The 21,257-nt window shown below is 37.0% G+C and overlaps 1 protein-coding gene across 3 annotated transcripts in view; it reads right to left on the bottom strand.

Moving 5' to 3' along the window:
- Positions 1-21,257, bottom strand: part of PHKB (phosphorylase kinase regulatory subunit beta) — a 240,225-nt gene that overhangs the window by 34,505 nt on the left and 184,463 nt on the right. For 2 of the 3 annotated variants that reach the window (NM_001363837.1, NM_001031835.3), the window contains 9 exons: positions 18,403-18,486; positions 17,815-17,919; positions 16,393-16,475; positions 16,098-16,188; positions 6,452-6,513; positions 6,200-6,362; positions 5,219-5,300; positions 3,285-3,342; positions 987-1,077 (listed from right to left, as the gene is read on the bottom strand). In NM_001363837.1, coding sequence (NP_001350766.1) covers positions 987-1,077; positions 3,285-3,342; positions 5,219-5,300; positions 6,200-6,362; positions 6,452-6,513; positions 16,098-16,188; positions 16,393-16,475; positions 17,815-17,919; positions 18,403-18,486 — 819 coding nt within the window. Of the gene's footprint in view, positions 1-986; positions 1,078-2,043; positions 2,135-3,284; positions 3,343-5,218; positions 5,301-6,199; positions 6,363-6,451; positions 6,514-16,097; positions 16,189-16,392; positions 16,476-17,814; positions 17,920-18,402; positions 18,487-21,257 lie in introns of all 3 variants that reach the window. The other variant, NM_000293.3, reaches the window with a different exon arrangement.

Below are 21,257 nucleotides of genomic sequence, written 5' to 3'. Positions count from 1 at the left end.
AGCCCTGAAATATGACCAATGGGTTGATTCCATTGAAGAGAGTTAAAATACTTCATATTACTAAAGATTATTATATCCCCAGATTAACTCTCAGGAAAACACAATAAAGCACATATATTCCCAGAGAAGAGACAGAGAGTAAGTGGACAGGTTTTCATTCTAATCAAAGGATGATTCAGCCAGGTAAATTAGAGCTTATAGAAAACAAAACAGAAAATGAGTAGCCACACCCCACATGCAAGGCTCAATTCAACCAACATTCACCAAGTGCTTTTTCCAAACAAGGCCCCATGCTGGGCACATTGGGACGTGTACTGGACAAGACCCAGACTCTGACCCCTGGGGGTTCACAGCCTACCATGAGGTGAGAGACACACATTCAAATGAACTGGGACCCAGGACAGATTGTGGGAATTGTCACAGACCTATTGTGAGAATCCAGAGAGAGAGACCACTGCTAACTGGAGATGGCTCCGTGAGGAGGAGGTGACAGAGTTGGCCCTGGTGAATGGGGAGGAGCTGGGGTTAGAGATGGCCTGGGGCAGGGGATCTGGGGAGCAGCACTGGCACGCAAAGACCCTGGCTGGGCATGAACACCATGCTTTCTAAGTGGGGAGATCTCATGTGGAGCAGAAGGGAAGATGCGCCCTTTGCTGTTCACCTACCTCTGTTCTGCCTATCCGAAACCTGTCTGGAGTACTTCAGTAGTTATTGGTCCATTTTCTACATTAGCATCTGCATTGATCTCAACACAGGAGTTGAAGATTATAGCTTTAAGGTGCAGCAGGAAAGGGGAAGGCCCATTTAATAACTTTCTGACTAGATTTTGCTTGGGGAAGGAGACTTTGATAGAAAGTGCCTGAGCCCTTATAAATCTGATTGTAAGAGGCCTATGACATTGAGGTTTGCCAGACTTAAAATTAAGGGTCCTAGCCAGAAATCTTTGCAACCGGGACCAAATAAGTGTCTGAAAAGCAAATACTTACCTGTTTGCCCTGCACTAAAACATTAGTAATGGATGGGGCCAGGCTGTCCACTACTTTACTTAAAAGACTTGCTGCACGGCGTACAACCGACCTGGGGGCAAAGAAGAGAGCAGGCCAGATGTTCACAAATCTAAAAGATGAGGAATGCATGGGGCCCTGATTGGGTAGTCTTTAAAATATACACAGTGGAATCCTCACATCATCATTTGGAGGAAACACTGCCCAGGACATTGAACCTAACAGCTGAAATTTCCCAGACTGCAGGACCATTCAGAATTAGGGAGGGATCCCTCCACCTCATCCCTGCCACCAAGCTGTGACAAAAATATTATTGATGACACTATTGATATAAAAAGCAAAAAAAGAAAACCTAATTATTATTTTGATTAGGGAGGGAGGGTGTATAGGAGGGATTAAGAGGGTATTCTGATTTTGCATTAACAAGTTCATTACTAAATCTGTCACTAGTACATGTGACCTATTTCTATAACCACTTTAAATCATGTTTCTTTTGGTGCCTAGATAACCAAATCTCTGGATTAGAGGATTCACTTAGTACTGAATTTTAGAAAGTGCTACAATGAAATACCAGTATTTCTTTTTACTGATAAAGCCATAATGTTGGGGGAAGGAATTCACACTGCTATTTTTATATTACTGAAAAAGTCTTAGAACCTAGGGAGAACAGATTTTTTTTTTTTAAAGTACAGCACATGCAATACATAAGACAATTTTTTTCCCTCAAAAGTAAAAATTCTCGTGGAACTTTTAGATAGAGAAATAAAAATGTAGGTTTGAAACTGGCTGCAATCTTCATGTATTTCAGGATATCCACAGAAGCTGACTTATAAAAAGCATTTATATTCCTTAATTTCAACATAGATGACTAAAAGAAAATTAAGTCAATAACTAATAAAGTTAGTGAAACAAACACTTCCTACTTCTAGAGAAGCTTTCACCCACACACTATAAGACCAAAAGACATATTTAACCTTCAGAGTGCAAATAAGCCCACACATTTCAAGCAGCTTGGGTTTTCAAATTCTGTGCATGTTACCTGTTTCCCATGTACCAGAAAAGTAGTAATGTGTGGGGCTATAGAGGAAGAAAATTTCTGGGTAAATGCAGCCCCGTAGCGCACCGCCAACCTGGGTGTGTCAGTGGAAAGCCATAAAAGGGAAAATAGAGTAAATAAAACTTCCAGGAGTTCTTCCAAACATAACAGTCAGCATTCTAAATGTTTGCTAGTTAATGATTTATCTGAAATGCATAAAGTGTAATACATAAAGCAAGAACAGATGTGCTTAATCAAAAATAAGACTACAGACCACACTTGAAACTTACTGGCTAAGAAAGTTTACCAGAACTATCACTTATTGGCTTGATGTCTTACTGTACTGAAAATTTACAGTGAAAATTTGAAAGATTTAACTATAGGATTATTACATTATTTCTTCTGAGGAGGAACGGCATATTTATTATAAAAATAGAATTGAAATATTCTAAGGGATTGTTTTGTTTAATCCCCTTATTTTAGGGATTAGAAACCTGAGGCTCATTGAGGTTAAGGGAGTTTCTTATGACATTCTTGAGACTTTTTTTTTTAAGTGGATAACGTATCATTAAAAAAATGTGTGCATGTGTATATATATCTATACATACGCTCTGACTTTCAAAATTTGTTAGATTCTGCTAGTAAAACTGTTAGAATTACATCAAAATGCAGAGGGCCATGTGAATTGGCCCTCCATTGTGAATTTAAACAATTTTATTTATTTAAACTTTCCTACATCTTTTTTTTTTTCAATCTCTGGGAACAGACTACCTCTGTAGAACAAATTGGTTATTTTTCGTGAAGCAACTACAATCACTGGGATTCATTCAACTTAAGTGACAAGACAATAGCCTTCTACTATTTTTGCTTATGATTAGATAAATCACTGGTCTCTTTTCATGGCCTTCTATAATAGCAGAACAGGTTTCCTAAATTAAAAAACAGAACTTAAAGCACCTTGTTGGGGCAGAGGAGGTGTACAGCAGGAAAGAAACCTTAGCATACCATTCCAGCGAATACTCTTCAGGTTCAATCCCTACAGTGTCTTTGTTCTCAGAATTTTGGTGGAGGCAGTGGGGGGACAGACATGCTACATAGGCACATTCTTAGAAAGTGCTGTAACCTTGGAGGTTAAAAGTAAAAATTAGGATGAATAACTATCTTTAATATTGGTCCATTTTCTTTAGGCTATCGAATATAACAACACAAAAATAAAACATAACAACAAGGACACTAATACAAACCAAAGTTTTTGGCTGCCAGCTCTTCTATAGACTCTCTCAATGTGATCAGAAACGGTACCTAGACATTGGATAATAGAGTCTTTGTTGAACAAAGCTTTTAATTAAATGCACAACATTTATTCCTCTTAAAAGTACTCATTTTCACTGTGCTTCACTAGAGTTGATACATCGATCCATTAATGTTCTGAACTAACATATTTAAATATGTAACTCAAATATATAGAGTGTGACTATCCCCAGCACTTGATACTATTTAGTCTGAGTATGTAATATAGGTATTTTATTTCTCGAAATTCAACTGTTTTCCTAATTAATATGCAATCTAAACTTTTAACAAATACAAATGCTATTCTAATTTACTGCAGAAAAGAAGAAAAGAGAATATAGTAAAATAATTAGCAATTGAACAAATACTGTAGACTCTAATATATATGAGTTTTCATTTATTTGTTCAATAAAACTTTACTGAGGCCTTGTTATGTACATGGGGCTATGATCATTCCAACATATGCTACTGCTCAAAAGACACCAGTGGGTTTCATTATTTGGCCACTGATTTTGCCCGTAAAATCACAATGTGACAGGAAAGAGCGCCAAAAAGAAAACAATGATAAAAAACAAGATCTTTAACATTTTACTCTAAACTTTTTACAGCCTTTTAACAAATTGGATAAAATTATATTCAGATTCTGTAGATGCATATGATTTTCAAAGTTTCACATAAGGTTTTATAGATTTAAAACATTTAATGAATATTATTCTCAAATTTATAAAAATGGTTTACAACATCATTCCCTTAGCATTTTCATTATAAACTATTTTATATAAATTTTCTTTTATTTAAAAGCACTAAAACTTTTAAATTAAAAAAACAGCCATTCTGAATTCTAGGTTTCTAATGAAATGTTTGATTTTTAAAAATCCTACTGTTTTAGATAAAGTGCAAATTTCAATGAATGTCCTAAATATAACTGAGATTCTGCTTATACTTATAGTTTTAAGACTAATTAGAAACATGCAAGATTCTGTTTGAAATTTGCTAAAAGTTCCTCTGCCTTTAACAAGCTAAGAAATTGAAAACTATTCAATTCACATCTATAATACTGAAGAAGGTTATCTCTTAGCTATAATAAGGCAAAAACTAAGTAGATCTCATTTGAATAAATAACTATGCTCAGTTAATTACCAGAACTATACGTATTATTAATTCCACTGCTGTTTTTCAGTTCTAACCATATCAACACACACCTCTTAACAGAGTATTTTCAAATAAGCCAAACATTTTTGAATAGCTAGACATTAAGTACTTGAACTGTATTCTGTATTATTCTGTATTATAAAATGTCAGAAGCGGACCATGGTGGAGAACTTAAAGATTCCTTACAGTGGTGACTCCACATGCAAGTGTGAATCTGGGGGATAACTGGTTTTCATCCTTAATGCAGAGTGGACATAGACATGATTACAAATGATTTATTTTTATTAACCATCTTCAGAGCACAATTCTATTAAATGCCATGTTCCATTTCAAATGGCTGCTGCAGACCATGAGAGAGCTAATTTTTATAGACATAACAATTCAATGTTATTCTTGAAAAATTAGAGAAGATAAAACTGGAAACAGAAACTGTCAATAAACAACTATGGAATTCATCAGACGTTAACAGTCACAGGCACAATCCAAGCTCCAATACTTTTCAGACAATCAGAGAAACAATCAAGCATCACTGCATGAAAGCCAGTTAGGGGTTCATACATCAGTCTCCTCCACTCTAGGGGGTATGAATGAACATTTTCCATTCAAAAGTGAAAAAGAAGGTTTAATGAAAGGGGAAATAACTTGTAACATTTTAGTGGATAGCTTATGCATATTTGATATATGTTCAAGGCTAGAGAGGTCCTCTTAAAATGTTCTCCTAGACATGCATGCTTACCTTCCTTTGTGATGAAGTTGGGGCCTTCTCTTTTGAGCAGTATACCCAGCAGGATGGCTTGGCTAGCCAGACAACTGCAATCCTGAAAATATAAATCACGGTGAGGAACTGGAATGAAATGGGTACAGCAGTTACCACAGAGGGTAACTAATCACAAAACCACATGATGCAGAGAAGAAACACTTTACTATGTAACTGAGGGAAGATAAAATGTCATTGATATAATATCAAGCATAAGATGACATTATACAACGATTCATATTTATCTTAGATATCTTAGAGATAGAGGGTAGACAAGTGACAAGCTGGCTTCCTGGGGTGGTAGAATTTAATAATTAAATTTGCCAGAAAACAAGATAAGTAATGAACAGAAAATATTTTATCTACAAGCATTAACATTGATTTTGCCACTCTCTGAGAGACTTGGCCAGGTCATTTAACCACTCCCTTCTTGATTCTTCTTATTGGTAAATGGGAGACCATGTTGCTAGCAAACTGTTGTGAAGAGATGGATGATAGGAGGGGACTTGTTTAGAGTGTTTATTACATATTAGGGCACTGTGCTATAAGCACAGTGAAAGGATTGCTTTACTCAGTGACAGGACTGACCTAAAGCAAGCATTAGACCTAAACACTGGGGCAGGGGACAAGATGGGGGCAGAAAGGGAGAAAGAGGGCACTGAAAGGGAAATCTGGAGAACCCAAAGGCAACTATCATTGACTTCTTTAATGGCTCATACCATACTTGTATATCCAAGACAAACATATTCACCTGCACTTCTTAAGCATTTTTAAAGATATCCATGCAGATGTTAGACCAAGAGAACAACTTCTCATGATTGCCCTGGGAGTAGACAAGTCATCCACCTCCAGATTAATTGCTACCTTCACTGACAGGACAAAAAGACATATGGTCTGATTCTGGGAGCTTCTGCTCCAGCAACCTCACTTAGGGCCATGTGGGAAGTGCATCTGTCTCACATTCAGTTTTTGAAGAATTTCGTGGGTGGGTTTGTCCTTCCATTCACTAATGTTGACATCCGGCTGCTGTCCCAGTTCAGGAGCACTAGGGGTGCTGCTTTGCCGTTTGACTTTTGAATGTTTGGGAGGTTCTAGTTCCTCAAAACTCTTAAATTCTGGAAGCCTAAAAATTAAAAGAAAAGGTTTCATATTTTCTGCTTTTCTAATGTAATTTCAAAAAACCCAAAAATGAAATAACCCAAAGGGACTTACTCTTCTGTGTCACTGATTCGTAGGAAATCAAGTTGTTCTACCACAGCTCCAGATATTAGTGTCTGAAACGTGATCGAAAAAGATTAGAAACTCTTAGATACATCAAGCCATACTCTAATGGCCTGTGTGCATACCTTTCTGTAATTAAGTAATACTTCAAAAAATTGCTTAAAAATATATACAATTCTGAAGCAATTCTTAAATGAACATTCTAAAATCACACAGGTTTCTACACACACAAAAAAAACCCTAAAATAGAATATACACATCGTTACAAGTTTATGAGTCATTATAAATAGGTCAACATGAGATGGACTCTCTGTTCTTAGAATTGCAGGCATTTACTTTTAATCTGGAATTAAAATAATTCAGTAACCATTAAAATGTTAAAAAAAATAACATTTCTGACAGGGTGCAGTGGCTCATGCCCGTAATCCCAGCACTTTGGGGTGTCAAGGCGGGTGGATCATGAGGTCAAGAGATCAAGACTATCTTGGCTGTCCTGGTGAAACCCCATCTCTACTAAAAATACAAAAATTAGCTGGGCGTGGTGGCATGTGCCTGTAGTCCCAGCTACTCGGGAGGCTGAGGCAGAAGAATCACTTGAACCTAGAAGGTGGAGGCTGCAGTGAGCCAAGATTGCACCACTGTACTCTGGCCTGGCAATAGAGTGAGACTCCGTCTCAAAAAATAAATAAATAAATAAATAAAATAAAATATCCAAATTAGGAAAAACATAAAATACTAAAATTGCTTTGGGAAAAGATGTGAAATTGCACTGTGGATTCTGCTACTGTAATGTATTTCTGGGCCATCCAATGATAGGATACCGACAAGTCTCCATTTTTTTCAGGAACATGAAGGTATTGGTTATCCAGGCTAATGCTTCTCTGCATTCTGGCATATGGCTACCCATATTTGGCCATTTTATTTTCCATAAGTTTCTGATTATAGGTTGAACAAACTAAATGACCTTAAACACTGTTTGTGTTTGTCAGTGGTTCATGGTGAACAGTATGAACAGTATAAATGAATGATAAACCTACAATGGTTTTTAGCATTATGTGTCACTTCTAATTATCTGATGAATTGTCAGAGAAAATTGAGAAATGTACTCATAAAAAGCAGGCCATAAATTATTAATTAAAAATAAGGCAATATTTATTACATATTTATAAAATATTTATAACATATATTATTTTCTCTATTTTCTCACTGTTCATCTCAAATGTGAAGAAACAGGACACAGGGAATGTTGCTTTTGTTGGCTAACTACCCAGAATAGTAGTGCCTTCTCCTCTAGCGGAAACTCATAAACAAAGTAGATCAACAAATGCCCATTTACAGATGGTAGGATGGACGTATTAATAGCAATCATAATAAAGCTTCCTTGAGTTTGAGTGAGAAAGGCCGAATATGCAGTTGATCTACACATTTTTACTAGCCTGGCTATAGTCAGGTCACTCTTGAACAGTAAGTTCCCTAAGAGCAGGGTCTGTGCCTAGGCAGGTTCATTGAATGATATTTCCTAATATGTAGGCTAGCATGTATACATCTTGCTCTTTAGTTAAATGATTTGTTAGACAAATATTTATTGAAGGCCTACTAGGTACTATGTTAGGTATTGAGGATACAGCATGAACAAAATACATAACATTCTTGCCTTCTTGAAACTGTTCTTATAGGTATGTGTAGGGGATAGACAATAAAAAAGCTACACACACACACACACACACACACACACACACACACACACACTGTCATGCATTGCTTAATGACCAAGATACATTCTGAGAAATGCATCATTAGGCAATCTCGTTGTTGTGTGAACACCCATAGAGTGTACTTACACAAACGTAGGTGGCATAGCCTACTAAGCACTAAGCTATATGGCACAGCCTATTGCTCTTAGGCTACAAACATGTACTGAATACTGTAGGCAACTGTAATACGATGATATTTGTGTATCTAAAGATAGAAAAGGTACAGTAAAAATACAGTATTAAAATCTTATGAGACCTCCATTGTATACGTGGTCCATCATTGACTAAAACACATATGACCCTCTCTGTGTATACAATAATTATTATAATATATATTAATACTACATATATGTATTTATTATGTCAGATGGTGATAAGTGCAAAGTAGAAATAAGAAAGGTAGGGGATGGGGAGTACCAGGGCAGGGGAGTAGGATGAGGGTTGTTAGCCATTTCATATAGCTGATCAGAAAGGATTTCTCTAATAAAGTAACATGCAATCAGAAACTGAAGAAAGGACTATAGTCAATGATATGGATCTGAAGGAAGAGTGTACAGGGCTGGGAGTGGCAAGTGCAAAGGTCCTGAGGCAGGAGCATGCTTAGTGTCTTTGAGAGCAGCGAGGAGGAAAGTGTGGTTGAAACAGAGTAGATGGGGCAGCTGGTAGGAGATGAAATCAGAGATGCAGGTCCAGATCATGGAGAGCACATAGACCATTTGAAGAACTCTGGTTTCCACTTTGTGTGAGAGAGGAAGTCATTGGAGGCTTATGATATATGACCTAATCTGCTTATGACCAGGTAGAGCATGAACAGACTGTTTTATTAGTTGGAATTTAGGAGATGACTGGAAACCTAGGTGAGGGACAATGGTAGCTTGGACCATGATAATAGCACTGAAGGTGATGGGAAGTGGTTAGATTCTGGATACAATCTGAGGATAGAGACAATAGGATTTAATAATAAATTGTAACACAGGGTATGAGAGAAAGAGAGAGTCAAGAATTACTTAATTCTTAAAGCTGATAGCTAATGCTGAAACAGAAAAAAATTCTATTTAATAATTTCCATTTTATTAGCCTACTCACCCTTATATTCTAATTCAGCCCATAAAATAAATGTTTATTCTGAGTTAATAGACAAATGCTAAATTCCATTAATAATCTATAGGGCTTTTGATTAAAAAAAAAATTCAGTTGGTTGTAGAAGCTCCTATATTAGTATTGGAAAAAGCATACTTAACAACAAATTTGCTAGGCATTAGTATTCTATTTCTGATGGTAATTAAATAATACTGTATGTGTCAAACGCAATATAATATTTAAAACACTCAATTATATCCCACCGGGTCCTTTCCAACAGACCATCCTACCTAAGATTGCATTCCTTCCCATCACTCTCCCAACCTACCTTTGTTTTCTGTTGGGCTCTCCCTTTAGAATTTAAGTCCCATATGGTCAAAAACCTTGTGTATCATATTCAACACTACATCCCTAGTGCCTACAGTCGGAGCACAATAAATATTTGTTGAATCAATGAGCCAATATTTAAATATTTCCCACAGATAACAGTAGTGAGGAGAGTACTCTGGGGATGCAGAGATGAGTGAACCTTGAGCTGAAAAAGATTACAAACCACAGAGCGAGGCAGGCAGAAGAAACTAGCTAAACATAAAATGAAAGAAGAGCCATAGCAAACATTCAAGCAAAATGTCATAGAAGGACAATGAAAGGAGAAATTAATTCCAGTCCCCGAGGCTTCACTAAAGAGGAAACAGTCACCTAAGCTGTAAAATTAAAGTATGACATAGAAACAAAAAAAGAAAAAGGCAACTCTAAAATACCATCATAGCATGAGGGGAAAAATCTCCAATTACATTTAGAGATTTGGAAACCAAGTATATTTGGGGCATGGAAAGCATGGCTAGCAACGAACTGCAAGGAGAGATGTCCTGGGTAATGGGGCTGGGAGAGAAGGCTGGGATCCTAGTAATGAATGAAACTGTGGATCAGGGGATAAGGAAATTTGAAAGGATCTGAAATAAAACCCAAGAGGAGCATATAGATGCCATTTTCATTTATTATATTAGTAAAAAAAAAATGGAGGCTGGAGTGTGGGGGGAATGAGGAACTGTTGTTTATGAGCATAGAGTTTGAGTTTTGCAAGATGAAAACAGTTCTAGAGATTGTTTGCACAACAAAGTGAATGTAGTTAACACCATTAAACTGGACACTTAAAAATGATTAACATGGCAAATTTTATGTTATGCATGTTTTACCACAATTTTTAGAGATGGCAAAGTACATATTTAAATTCAGAAGATCTTCAAAAATATTGTTGACATTTTGGGTTACTGATGACTGTAAGTCTAGAACAGTTATGTACTTACATTTTGCTTTTGATAAATATTTTTAATTTAAATAAAAGAAGGAAAAAGTAAAAACACAAATGGTGAACTTCCATTTACATTTTTTAAAAAATGTAAAACTTGGCCAGGCGCGGTGGCTCACGCCTGTAATCCCCGCACTTGCGGAGGCTGAGGCGGGTGGATCATGAGGTCAGGAGATCGAGACCATGCTGGCTAACACGGTGAAACCCCATCTCTACTAAAAATACAAAAAATTACCCTGGCATGGTGGCACATGCCTGTAGTCCCAGCTGCCTCGGTAGGCTGAGGCAGGAGAATCGCTTGAACCTGGGAGGTGGAGGTTGCAGTGAGCCAAGATCGCGCCACTGCACTCCAGCCTGGGCAACAGAGTGAGACTCAGTCTCAATTAAAAAAAAAAAAAAGTAAAACTCTTTGAATCATGACAAAACTACTGACCTCTTTCTCCTATAATTTCTGAAACACAACTAAAAATGGGAAAATGAGATAGGTAGTGAAGTAGACATTAAACTCTGCTGCTGAAAAGAAAGTGATGAAAGTTCAGGTGCTTGAGTATAAAAAGTAGTGAACTAGGAATGGGAAACCATGAATTCTATTCCCTTCTGCAGTAACTAGTCTTAGGACTACAGACAGTTACTGTCCTACAAAGAGCTCTAGTTCTGTTTGTAAAATGAGAAGATTAGATGAAATATCTTAAGGTCTTGACCAACTTGAGCTTTGTGTATAAGGATATATAAGCAAAAAGTTTCCCAATTTCAGATGACACAGGATTAAAAAGGATATCATTCTGACTTTAAAACTCTATGCTGTGCTTGACATTAAAATAAAACAAAAAGAAAAGGAGAAACCTTCAATTTGACTTGAGAGAAAATCACCACACTTTGCACTGTCTTTGTAATTTGTCTATGACTCTTCAAATGAAATGAAAACTCTCCACAACATGGCAGAATATTAAACTTTAAAGTAAAATTATTTTCAACTCAAAGTCATCACAAAACTAAGAATTTGTCAACATCAGAGGCTAAAACTGATAGCTTATGATATGCCCAAAGTAAAAGCTTGAAAGTATTTTGATTTCTTCTTAAAATAAACATCTTTTAAAATTAAGTCATTTAATCCACCTGAAATGTATTTTGGTGTACGATGTGAGGTGATACTCTAACTGCCTTAATTTTTCCCAAAGTATATATTAAATAATCTATACATCCACCATTAATTTATTGTTTCCTTGATTACATATTATTTTAAGTTCCTGTGTGTATACTGGGGTGTTTTTCTGAGTTTACCTATCCTCTGCCATCAATTATAGTGAATAAGTACTACATTGTTTCACTGACTTCTCAATTTTGGTGACTGAATTTTTCATTTAGAATTTCTATTTGATTCTTTTTAAATGTACTATCAAAGTTTCTAATAAAATTCTCCAACTTGTTATCTAATTTTTTTCTTTTCTTTATTTATTTTTTTATTATATTTTAAGTTTTTGGGGTACATGTGCACAACATGCAGGTTTGTTACATATGTATACATGTGCCATGTTGGTGTGCTGCACCCATTAACTCGTCATTTAGCATTAGGTATATCTCCTAATGCTATCCCTCCCCCCTCCCCCCACCACACAACAGGCCCTGGTGTGTGATGTTCCCCATCCTGTGTCCAAGTGTTCTCATTGTTCAATTCGCACCTATGAGTGAGAACATGTGGTGTTCGGTTTTCCGTCCTTGCGATAGTTTGCTGAGAATGATGGTTTCCAGCTTCATCCATGTCCCTACAAAGGACATGAACTCATCCTTTTTTATGGCTGCATAGTATTCCATGGTGTATATGTGCCACATTTTCTTAATCCAGTCTATCATTGTTGGACATTTGGGTTGGTTCCAAGTCTTTGCTATTGTGAATAGTGTCGCAATAAACATATGTGTGCATGTGTCTTTATAGTAGCATGATTTATAATCCTTTGGGTATATACCCAGTAATGGGATGGCTGGGTCAAATGGTATTTCCAGTTCTAGATCCTTGAGGAATCGCCACACCGACATCCACAATGGTTGAACTAGTTTACAGTCCCACCAACAGTGTAAAAGTGTTCCTATTTCTCCACATCCTCTCCAGCACCTGTTGTTTCCTGACTTTTTAATGATCGCCATTTTAACTGGTGTGAGATGGTATCTCTTTGTGGTTTTGATGTGCATTTCTCTGATGGCCAGTTAAGCATATTGATCGTAGTTATTCTGACGTCTATGTCTGATAACTCTAATATCTGAACCAATGTAGGTGGCTCTCTGTTGTTTGATCACTCGTGGCATGCCTGATAATTTTGAATGAAAGACAGACACTGCACATATTTGTAGAAATACTTTGAGGTTCTGGATAATGTTATCTACTACTCTTTGTGAGGAGTGAACTATTTCTGATTCCCTTTTAGTCAAAGGTATAGCTTTTCAAGAGGGTCATCTGGAAGTCTGAAGTATTTATTGAAATCCCTCTTCCCTGGTGGGCCCTGAACTCTGATTTTTGTCCTTAACCATATGAAATTGCCAAAAGCTCTACTCCACTGAAATTACCATGATTATAATAAACTAGTAGACTAATTTAGGAGGTACTCACATTTTTGTAATAGTCTTTTCATCCAAGAATATGGTATAGCCCATTATTTATTCAAATCTTATATTTCTCTTCAAAATTATCTAGGTCTTTTTTTTCCATATAGGCCCACATATTTCTTAAAAGGAATAGAAAAATGCCTAGGTACATCCTGGAATGGGAGGGACACTTAAGCATAAAATCAAAAGTAGATTTCTGGTTAATATGACCAAGACATATCTTTAACTCCTGTTTTTCCTAAAATCCCAAAAATGATAGTGGAAAAAAATGTTTAAGGTATAAACCCACTAAGGTATAAATCCATTAGGACAAAGAGAACAGGAAAGAGCCTCAGGACCCTAAGATCCAGACACTGCTGGGATTCACAGACGCTCCACATAGGAAGACTGGGTCCAAAAGTTCCTTTCCATTCCCTAAACACTTAGGGAGTTACTATCTGCTTCCAGCTCCCTGATTTTTGAGAGACAAAAGGCTTTTTCTCTGGTTAAAGACACTGCACTCAAGAGTATAAGGCACAGTGGAGAGCAGGAGATACAAGGATTAAACAGTGGATTTGGCTGGAGACTGCATACTTCACAGTGGGATCCCTGGTTCCCTTCCTCCACCCTGCTTTCAGGACATGGAAACAAAGTTTATGTCCTTTGGTCATGAGGTTAGAGATGTACTTTCTGGGCAGACTGAAAAGCCTTAGAGAAAAGAATTCCAAATATTGGCATCTGAGGCTTTCTACAACAAAAAGGAGCTTTTGCCATCAGATCACCTTATAAGTGAATTCATCAAGAATCTTTCTCCTACACACAGGAAGAAACATTAAAAAAAAAAAAAAGCTCAATATCACTAAGCATCAAAGAAATGCGAATCAAAGCCACAATGAGGTTGGTTGCAGTGGCTTATGCCTGTAATCCTAGCACTTCGGGAGGCCGAGACAGGAGGATCACTTGAGCCCAGGAGTTTGAGACCAGCCTGGGCAACATAGCAAGATGCTGTCTCTACAAAAAACTAAAAAATTAGTTGGGCATGGCGGCATGTACCTGTAGTCCCAGCTACTTGGGAGGCTGAGGTGGGAGGATCCCTTGAGCTTAGGTGGTCGAGGGAGCAGTGAGCTGTGTACTCTACTGCACTCCAGCCTGGAGGACAGAGCGAGACCCTGTCTCTCAAACAAACAAAAGAAATAAACAACAACAACAACAAAAAAAACAACCCACAACGAGATACCATCCCACACCAGTCAGAATGGCTAGTATTAAAAGTCAAAAAACAATAGATGCTGGTGAAGCTGTAGAGAAAAGGGAATGTTATACACTGTTTGGTGGGAATGTCAATTAGTTTAGCCACTGTGGAAAACAGTTTGGAGATTTCTCAGAGAACTTAAAACAGAACTACCATTCAACCCAGCAATCCTATTACTGTGTATGTATTAAAAAAAAAAAAAAAAAAGACCACTAGAGCAGGAAGGAGGGCAAGGATTGAAAAACTATTGGGAACTGTGCTTAGAACCTAGATGATGGGACCGCTCACACCCCAAATCTCAGCATCATGCATATACCCAGGTATATGTATCCCCCTGAATCAAAAATAAAAGCTGAAATAGTAAGAAAAGAAAAAAAGAATCTTTGTACCCAAGCACACAGCTTCCTATGAACTTTTTACTCCTTTACTTTTAAAAATGAATAAATAGCTAAAGAATACCGGACATCTGACAAATGCCTCCAACATGAAAGACTGAGGGAAAAAACCCCGAAAGAGATAATACAGAGGAAAGGAAAATTGAAGAAAAAAAAGAAAACCTCTAGTTGATATCCTCAGAAAAGATAAAATATGACAGCCATGAAACATCCATAGGACAGAATACTATGAAAAATGAAAATTTAAAACATGATAGCCAACATGCAAAACTCAATAGAAGAACTGCAAGATAAAAATCAAAGAAATTGCCCCAGGAGGCATTACAAAAAGACAAAGCAACAGAAAATAAAGGAAAAAAGATAAATGCTTAGGTAAAAATCAAGTATGCAAAATACAATCACCAGGGAATGAGTATATAAACATGCCATTTATACTACTACGTAGGTCTTTCTTTATAAACTTTCCTCTTTCTTATTTAATACTGAGCACCTACTATGTGAAAGACCCCATGGAATAATCATTATTATTTTACAGAAATAAAGTATATAAGCCTATATAATAGACCGCAGTCTTAGTAGTTTAAGTTAAAGGTCACGAAAGCATGGTGAAGAATAGAAGTATATTTGTGGTCTGCATGATTTTGTAGAGCTGCCCTTAAAGTCTGGTAAGACCTCAAAGCCCAGTGACCTTGAAAGAAGGAAGGATAGTCCAGGCAGAGAAAATGGTGTGAGCAGAGGGACAGAACCCCACAAAATTCAAGACACAGTAATTATTGTATTGGCTGAAGCACAAAGAGTGTTTAGTAGGAGAGAACTGTGGACAGAGAGGCTGTTATGACCAACAGTGAACCAAAGAATGTTTCTGTAATTTAGGAGCTGTGAAGATAATGCTGTGAAGTTCTGAATGGAAAAAGGTTTATTCCCAGGTTGGATGTTAGTATAGAGCACAGAAAAGAGTACTGGACCAACAGTCAGCCAACTTGCCCCTAAAAGCCCAAGGTTATAAAGCAGGTCACTACACCACTATGGACCTAGCTTTTAGAGATGAGCTACTGAAGTCTAAAATTCTGCACAGGAAATTGCTGCAAGTGTTCAAGCATCTGACTTGGTGGGATCAGATAAACTGGAAAAGTGACAATAGGAATAGGAAGATAGGTGGAGAATAAAACCTTAAGTCAAAAACCTTAAATAGACCATACATTAAGAAACATAGCTGTATTGTAGATTAACTGTCCTGAAAATAGATGCATACTGAAAATCAGAAGGCTACCTGTAGACGATCCACATGAACTTTGACTCCTCCAATTATTCCTTTTTTAAGGGCTGCCAGCATATCTAATATGGGGTTGAACCGGCTACCTCTAAAAAATATAAATAAACAAAATGTACAGATTAACAACAGAATGGTAAATTAATAATCTAATACTAAGTGCCCCTTATATATACAAAGTATTCCACCACATACTAAGAAGGATACAAAAACATCCAAGGAGGCCTTTCTTCCCAAGGGCTCACTGTGTTCATGTCAGTGAGACACACGTACCTTACTTCTTTTATCAACCTACCTTATATTGTCTTCCCGGATGAGAACAAGGAAAAGTGGACGTCCATGCATTTTCCAATATTGTTTAATGAACTGCAGCGCATTCTGTCAAACAGAATGAGGTAGGATGTAATGGCACAGTATCTAAGATGAACAGGATGCTCAACCATGAGTGCCAAAGAGCCAACAAAATTCTTATGTAGCAAGACAGTTCACAATCCAACCCTGAATAACTTAGACTACTTAGGGGTAGAAGTACTCTAGCAGGTTCTCTGGGTACACGCAAGTTATGCTGAACACCACTTTGAGTTCAACGATTTCAAACTTTATTCTTAAAAGTAATCACGCTACATTTGTTTTAATGTGTTTTCCCCCTCTTTTTTTTAAATGTTAATCTATTTATTTGTTTATTTATTTAGAGACTGCCAAGACTGGTCTAGAACTCCTGGGCTCAAGTGATCCACCTGCCTCAGCCTCCCAAAGTGCTGGGATTACAGGTATGAGCCAATGCACTTGGCCTCCTTTTTTAAAAAAGCCTACAAAATACAGTTCAAGAATGGCCTCAGGGGGAACAATCATGCCAGCCGTCCAGAAGATTAACTCACTTCATATTACTAGGGATTTATTTTACAGCAGGTGGAGGAGACTGGACTGAATTTATACAGACCATTAGCAATGTAGAGGGAGCTCTTTATTTGATTAAATTATCTATCTATCTATCTATCTGTCAATCAATCAGTCATCTGAAAGACTTACATAAAATCATCATCATCACATCAAAAACTTACATAATACTTCACCATATGCCAGGCACTATTCTTAGTACTTTACATATATTAATTCTTTTAATCTTCAGAACACCCCTTAATTATTATTCAGTTTTACAGATGGGAAAACAAGGCACAGAGGAGTTAAGTAACTTGCCCAAGAACACACAGCTGGCAAGTGGCAGAGCCAAGATTTTAACGAATGCAGTCTGGCTCCAGATTTCATGCTCTAAATCATGATTCTAACCTTCTCTGCTCTGTCAGTAGAAAAGGGAGTGAAGATTTTAACTCATGGAGTTATGAGTTAGTTGAGGTTTTACTGGATATTTTTCATAAATAAAATTATTTTGCTAATTTACCTTTTGTTCAAAAAGACATAAACTGTCATATGAACATATTTTTCAAAATAGGTCCCCCTGTTTTTCTGAATTGTATCTTTTCATTTGTATAAAGGCACAAGGGGCAGTCATACAACTGTATATAAGACGAGGTCATCTATTATGCCAATGCTGCAAGTAATTTACACTCTCCAAAGCTATGCAGGTGGTTTTACTGTCATGCTTTACACTGTGTTAACCCAGTGTCACAGATACCTGGGAGTACTCAATATAGTAACATATGATAAAATCAGTGGAAACAAACTCATTCCATTTTTAAGAAAGGTGTTCCGAAGCTACCTTTATGTCATCTATCAGCAGGAAAACATCCTGAGACATGTAGAAATCACTTAGGTCGAAAATAATCGGGTAACAAACCACAGTCTTTCCTAGAATGCGATAAATCTGTAAGGGAAAAAGTTTTAAAACAAATAACTAAAGAACATACCAAAGGCAAAGGTGCAGTGCTGTAAGTCTCAATAAAAATAAAAACTGATGTCTAATTCTGAATAAGCACATAAATTAATAGCTTGCGACATCCAGATAATATTTAAAAATTTTTAAGTTTCTTGATGGAATCAGTATACCAATAAACTTAAAGCAGTCTACCTCTAATATGATGGAAAAGTCTGTGAGTAAATATTGTTATAATTAGATATTTTACAAAGCTTAGAAAAAATATATTTAGCAGTGAGGTGCTCCTTCATATTTATAAGACTTCCATGATATGATGCTAAATAAGTAATGTTTACTAGCAGAAAATAATACTTCAGATAAGTAGTCTGAGTACATAATGAAAATGAAAAAGGATGCATAGCAGGTCAAGCACCATTTCAGTATGCGGTATTAGAATCCAAAAACTACTTTTTGAGGACATTTCATGAGTACCTTTGATGTCCCGAGGCAGCCAATGGGCCTGTCTGGCCTTCCAGAGAGTCCTAACTTTTCATTGATACCCAGCTGCAAATAAGCCTGTAAGACACAAGTTTGTAAATTAGAGTCAGGTAAGAATCCATGTCACTTTCTCACCCCTGAGTATTGTCCTGTTAATTTTTGATCTTTCCAGAGAGAAAGAAGCTAGGGAACCCTAATCCAAAAACTTGTAGGAAGACAAGCTAACCAAAGATGTCAACTTAGATTTTGGATTACTGAGAGATTTGAGAGCAAAACTTCTGCAGATCTACTTAGCAACATTCTTAAATTTGATATTGTTCCTATACTGCTATAAATGTACAACTTGCATGGCTCTGATCGTAAAAGAACACAGAGGCTAATGCTTCCTGTATCATTAAAAAAATCCAGTTGTTTAACATTTTAAAAACGAGGGCCATAATCTCCTACTAAATTTCCACCTTTAAGTATTTCCCACCAAAATGAAAATGGCTTCATTGATTTTTTCTGATTATATACATTTTATGAAATATTCAAACCACGTACTCAAAGTGAATGTTCCTGTTTATTTTCACAATCCCTTTTGCAACAACTATTTCTCTGGTATACGCTGAAAGGGGTATATATAGTTCATTGTATGATCCCTAAGGGGCACCAAGATAGGGTTAAAGACTCTTAAAAGTACATCAATAAATATATACTCATATTATACACAGGTCAATATGTGTGTATATTTACATAAATGGGTTCATATATATTCTGTGTCCCATTTTTTAAACTTAATATTGTGGTATTCCAGTTTCAAGATGTTAAAATGGGCTGGGCATGGTGGCTCACGCCTGTAATCCCAGCACTTTGGGAAGCCGAGGCGGGCAGATCACGAGGTCAGGAGATCGAGACCACCCTGGCTAACATGGTGAAACCCCGTCTCTACCAAAAATACAAAAAATTAGCCAGGCGTGGTGGCGGGTGCCTGTAGTCCCAGCTACTAGGGAGGCTGAGAAAGGAAAATGGCATGAACCCAGGAGGCAGAACTTGCAGTGAGCCATGATCGAGCCACTGCACTCCAGCCTGGGCAACAGAGCGAGACTCCGTCTCAAAAAAAAAAAAAAGATGTTAAAATGAGTCTATGCATTTTCTGTACATTTCAATGTTGAAATGATTGAAGAAATATTAAAACTGAAGGGGAAAGCTGGGCGCAGTGGCTCACGCCTGTAATCCCAAAACTTTGGGAGGCTGAGGTGGGTGGATCACCTGAGATCAGGAGTTCAAGACCAGCCTGGCCGACATGGTGAAACCCGGTCTCTACTAATAATACAAAAATTAGCCGGGCGTGGTGACACATGGCTGTAATCCTAGCTACTTGGGAGGCTGAGGCAGAAGAATTGCTTGAACCCAGGAAGCAGAGGTTGCAGTGAACCACGATGGTGCCATTGCACTCCAGTCTGGGCGACAAGAGAGAAACTACATTTCAAAAATAAATAAATAAATAAATAAATACATAAATAAATAAATAAAAACTGAGGGGGAAAGTCTGCAGAAGTATTACAAAATAGGGAAGGGTGCCACAGTGGAGCAGAAACTTCTAGAATGTCTATAAGGTTAAAAACAGATAGTCTTGGAATGAATTAGGAGTTAATCAATGTCAGAGCTGAGCACTTAATCTAATCAAGAAGCCCCTTTACCTTTTTAAACTCCTATCTCCTGATAAAGATAGCTCCCAATTTTTTGTTATTTTAAAAATAATTCAATAAACATCTTTGGACAGTGTGTTATTATATCTGCAGGATAATTTCCTGGACTTGCTGGATCAAAGAGAATACATTCTCTTTGAAATGTAATGTGAGGTTGGTCACCCTCTAGAAATAATGTACCAATTTACATTGGTATTAACTGTGTACAGGCCTTGCCACCTTCTTGGGTCAAAATAATATTTCATTTTATTTTTAAACTACTACATTAAAATATTTTGTGGTTCAGCATTTTCTAATATATTTAATGACTCTTTGTATGTTCTGTAACTTTTTCCTTTTTTTTTTTTATTATTTTTTTATTTTTTATTTTTAATGTTTTTTTTTTTTTTATTATACTCTAAGTTTTAGGGTACATATGCACATTGTGCAGGTTAGTTACATATGTATACATGTGCCATGCTGGTGCGCTGCACCCACTAACGTGTCATCTAGCATTAGGTATATCTCCCAATGCTATCCCTCCCCCCTCCCCCGACCCCACCACAGTCCCCAGAGTGTGATATTCCCCTTCCTGTGTCCATGTGATCTCATTGTTCAATTCCCACCTATGAGTGAGAATATGCGGTGTTTGGTTTTCTGTTCTTGCGATAGTTTACTGAGAATGATGGTTTCCAATTTCATCCATGTCCCTACAAAGGACATGAACTCATCATTTTTTATGGCTGCATAGTATTCCATGGTGTATATGTGCCACATTTTCTTAATCCAGTCTATCATTGTTGGACATTTGGGTTGGTTCCAAGTCTTTGCTATTGTGAATAGTGCCGCAATAAACATACGTGTGCATGTGTCTTTATAGCAGCATGATTTATAGTCCTTTGGGTATATACCCAGTAATGGGATGGCTGGGTCAAATGGTATTTCTAGTTCTAGATCCCTGAGGAATCGCCACACTGACTTCCACAATGGTTGAACTAGTTTACAGTCCCACCAACAGTGTAAAAGTGTTCCTATTTCTCCACATCCTCTCCAGCACCTGTTGTTTCCTGACTTTTTAATGATTGCCATTCTAACTGGTGTGAGATGATATCTCATAGTGGTTTTGATTTGCATTTCTCTGATGGCCAGTGATGATGAGCATTTCTTCATGTGTTTTTT

This window comes from Homo sapiens, chromosome 16, assembly GCF_000001405.40.
Source record: "Homo sapiens chromosome 16, GRCh38.p14 Primary Assembly".
NCBI lineage: Eukaryota > Metazoa > Chordata > Mammalia > Primates > Hominidae > Homo > Homo sapiens.
The sequence above is the reverse complement of the archived record's forward strand: the minus strand, read 5'-3'. Positions and strand labels throughout refer to the sequence as shown.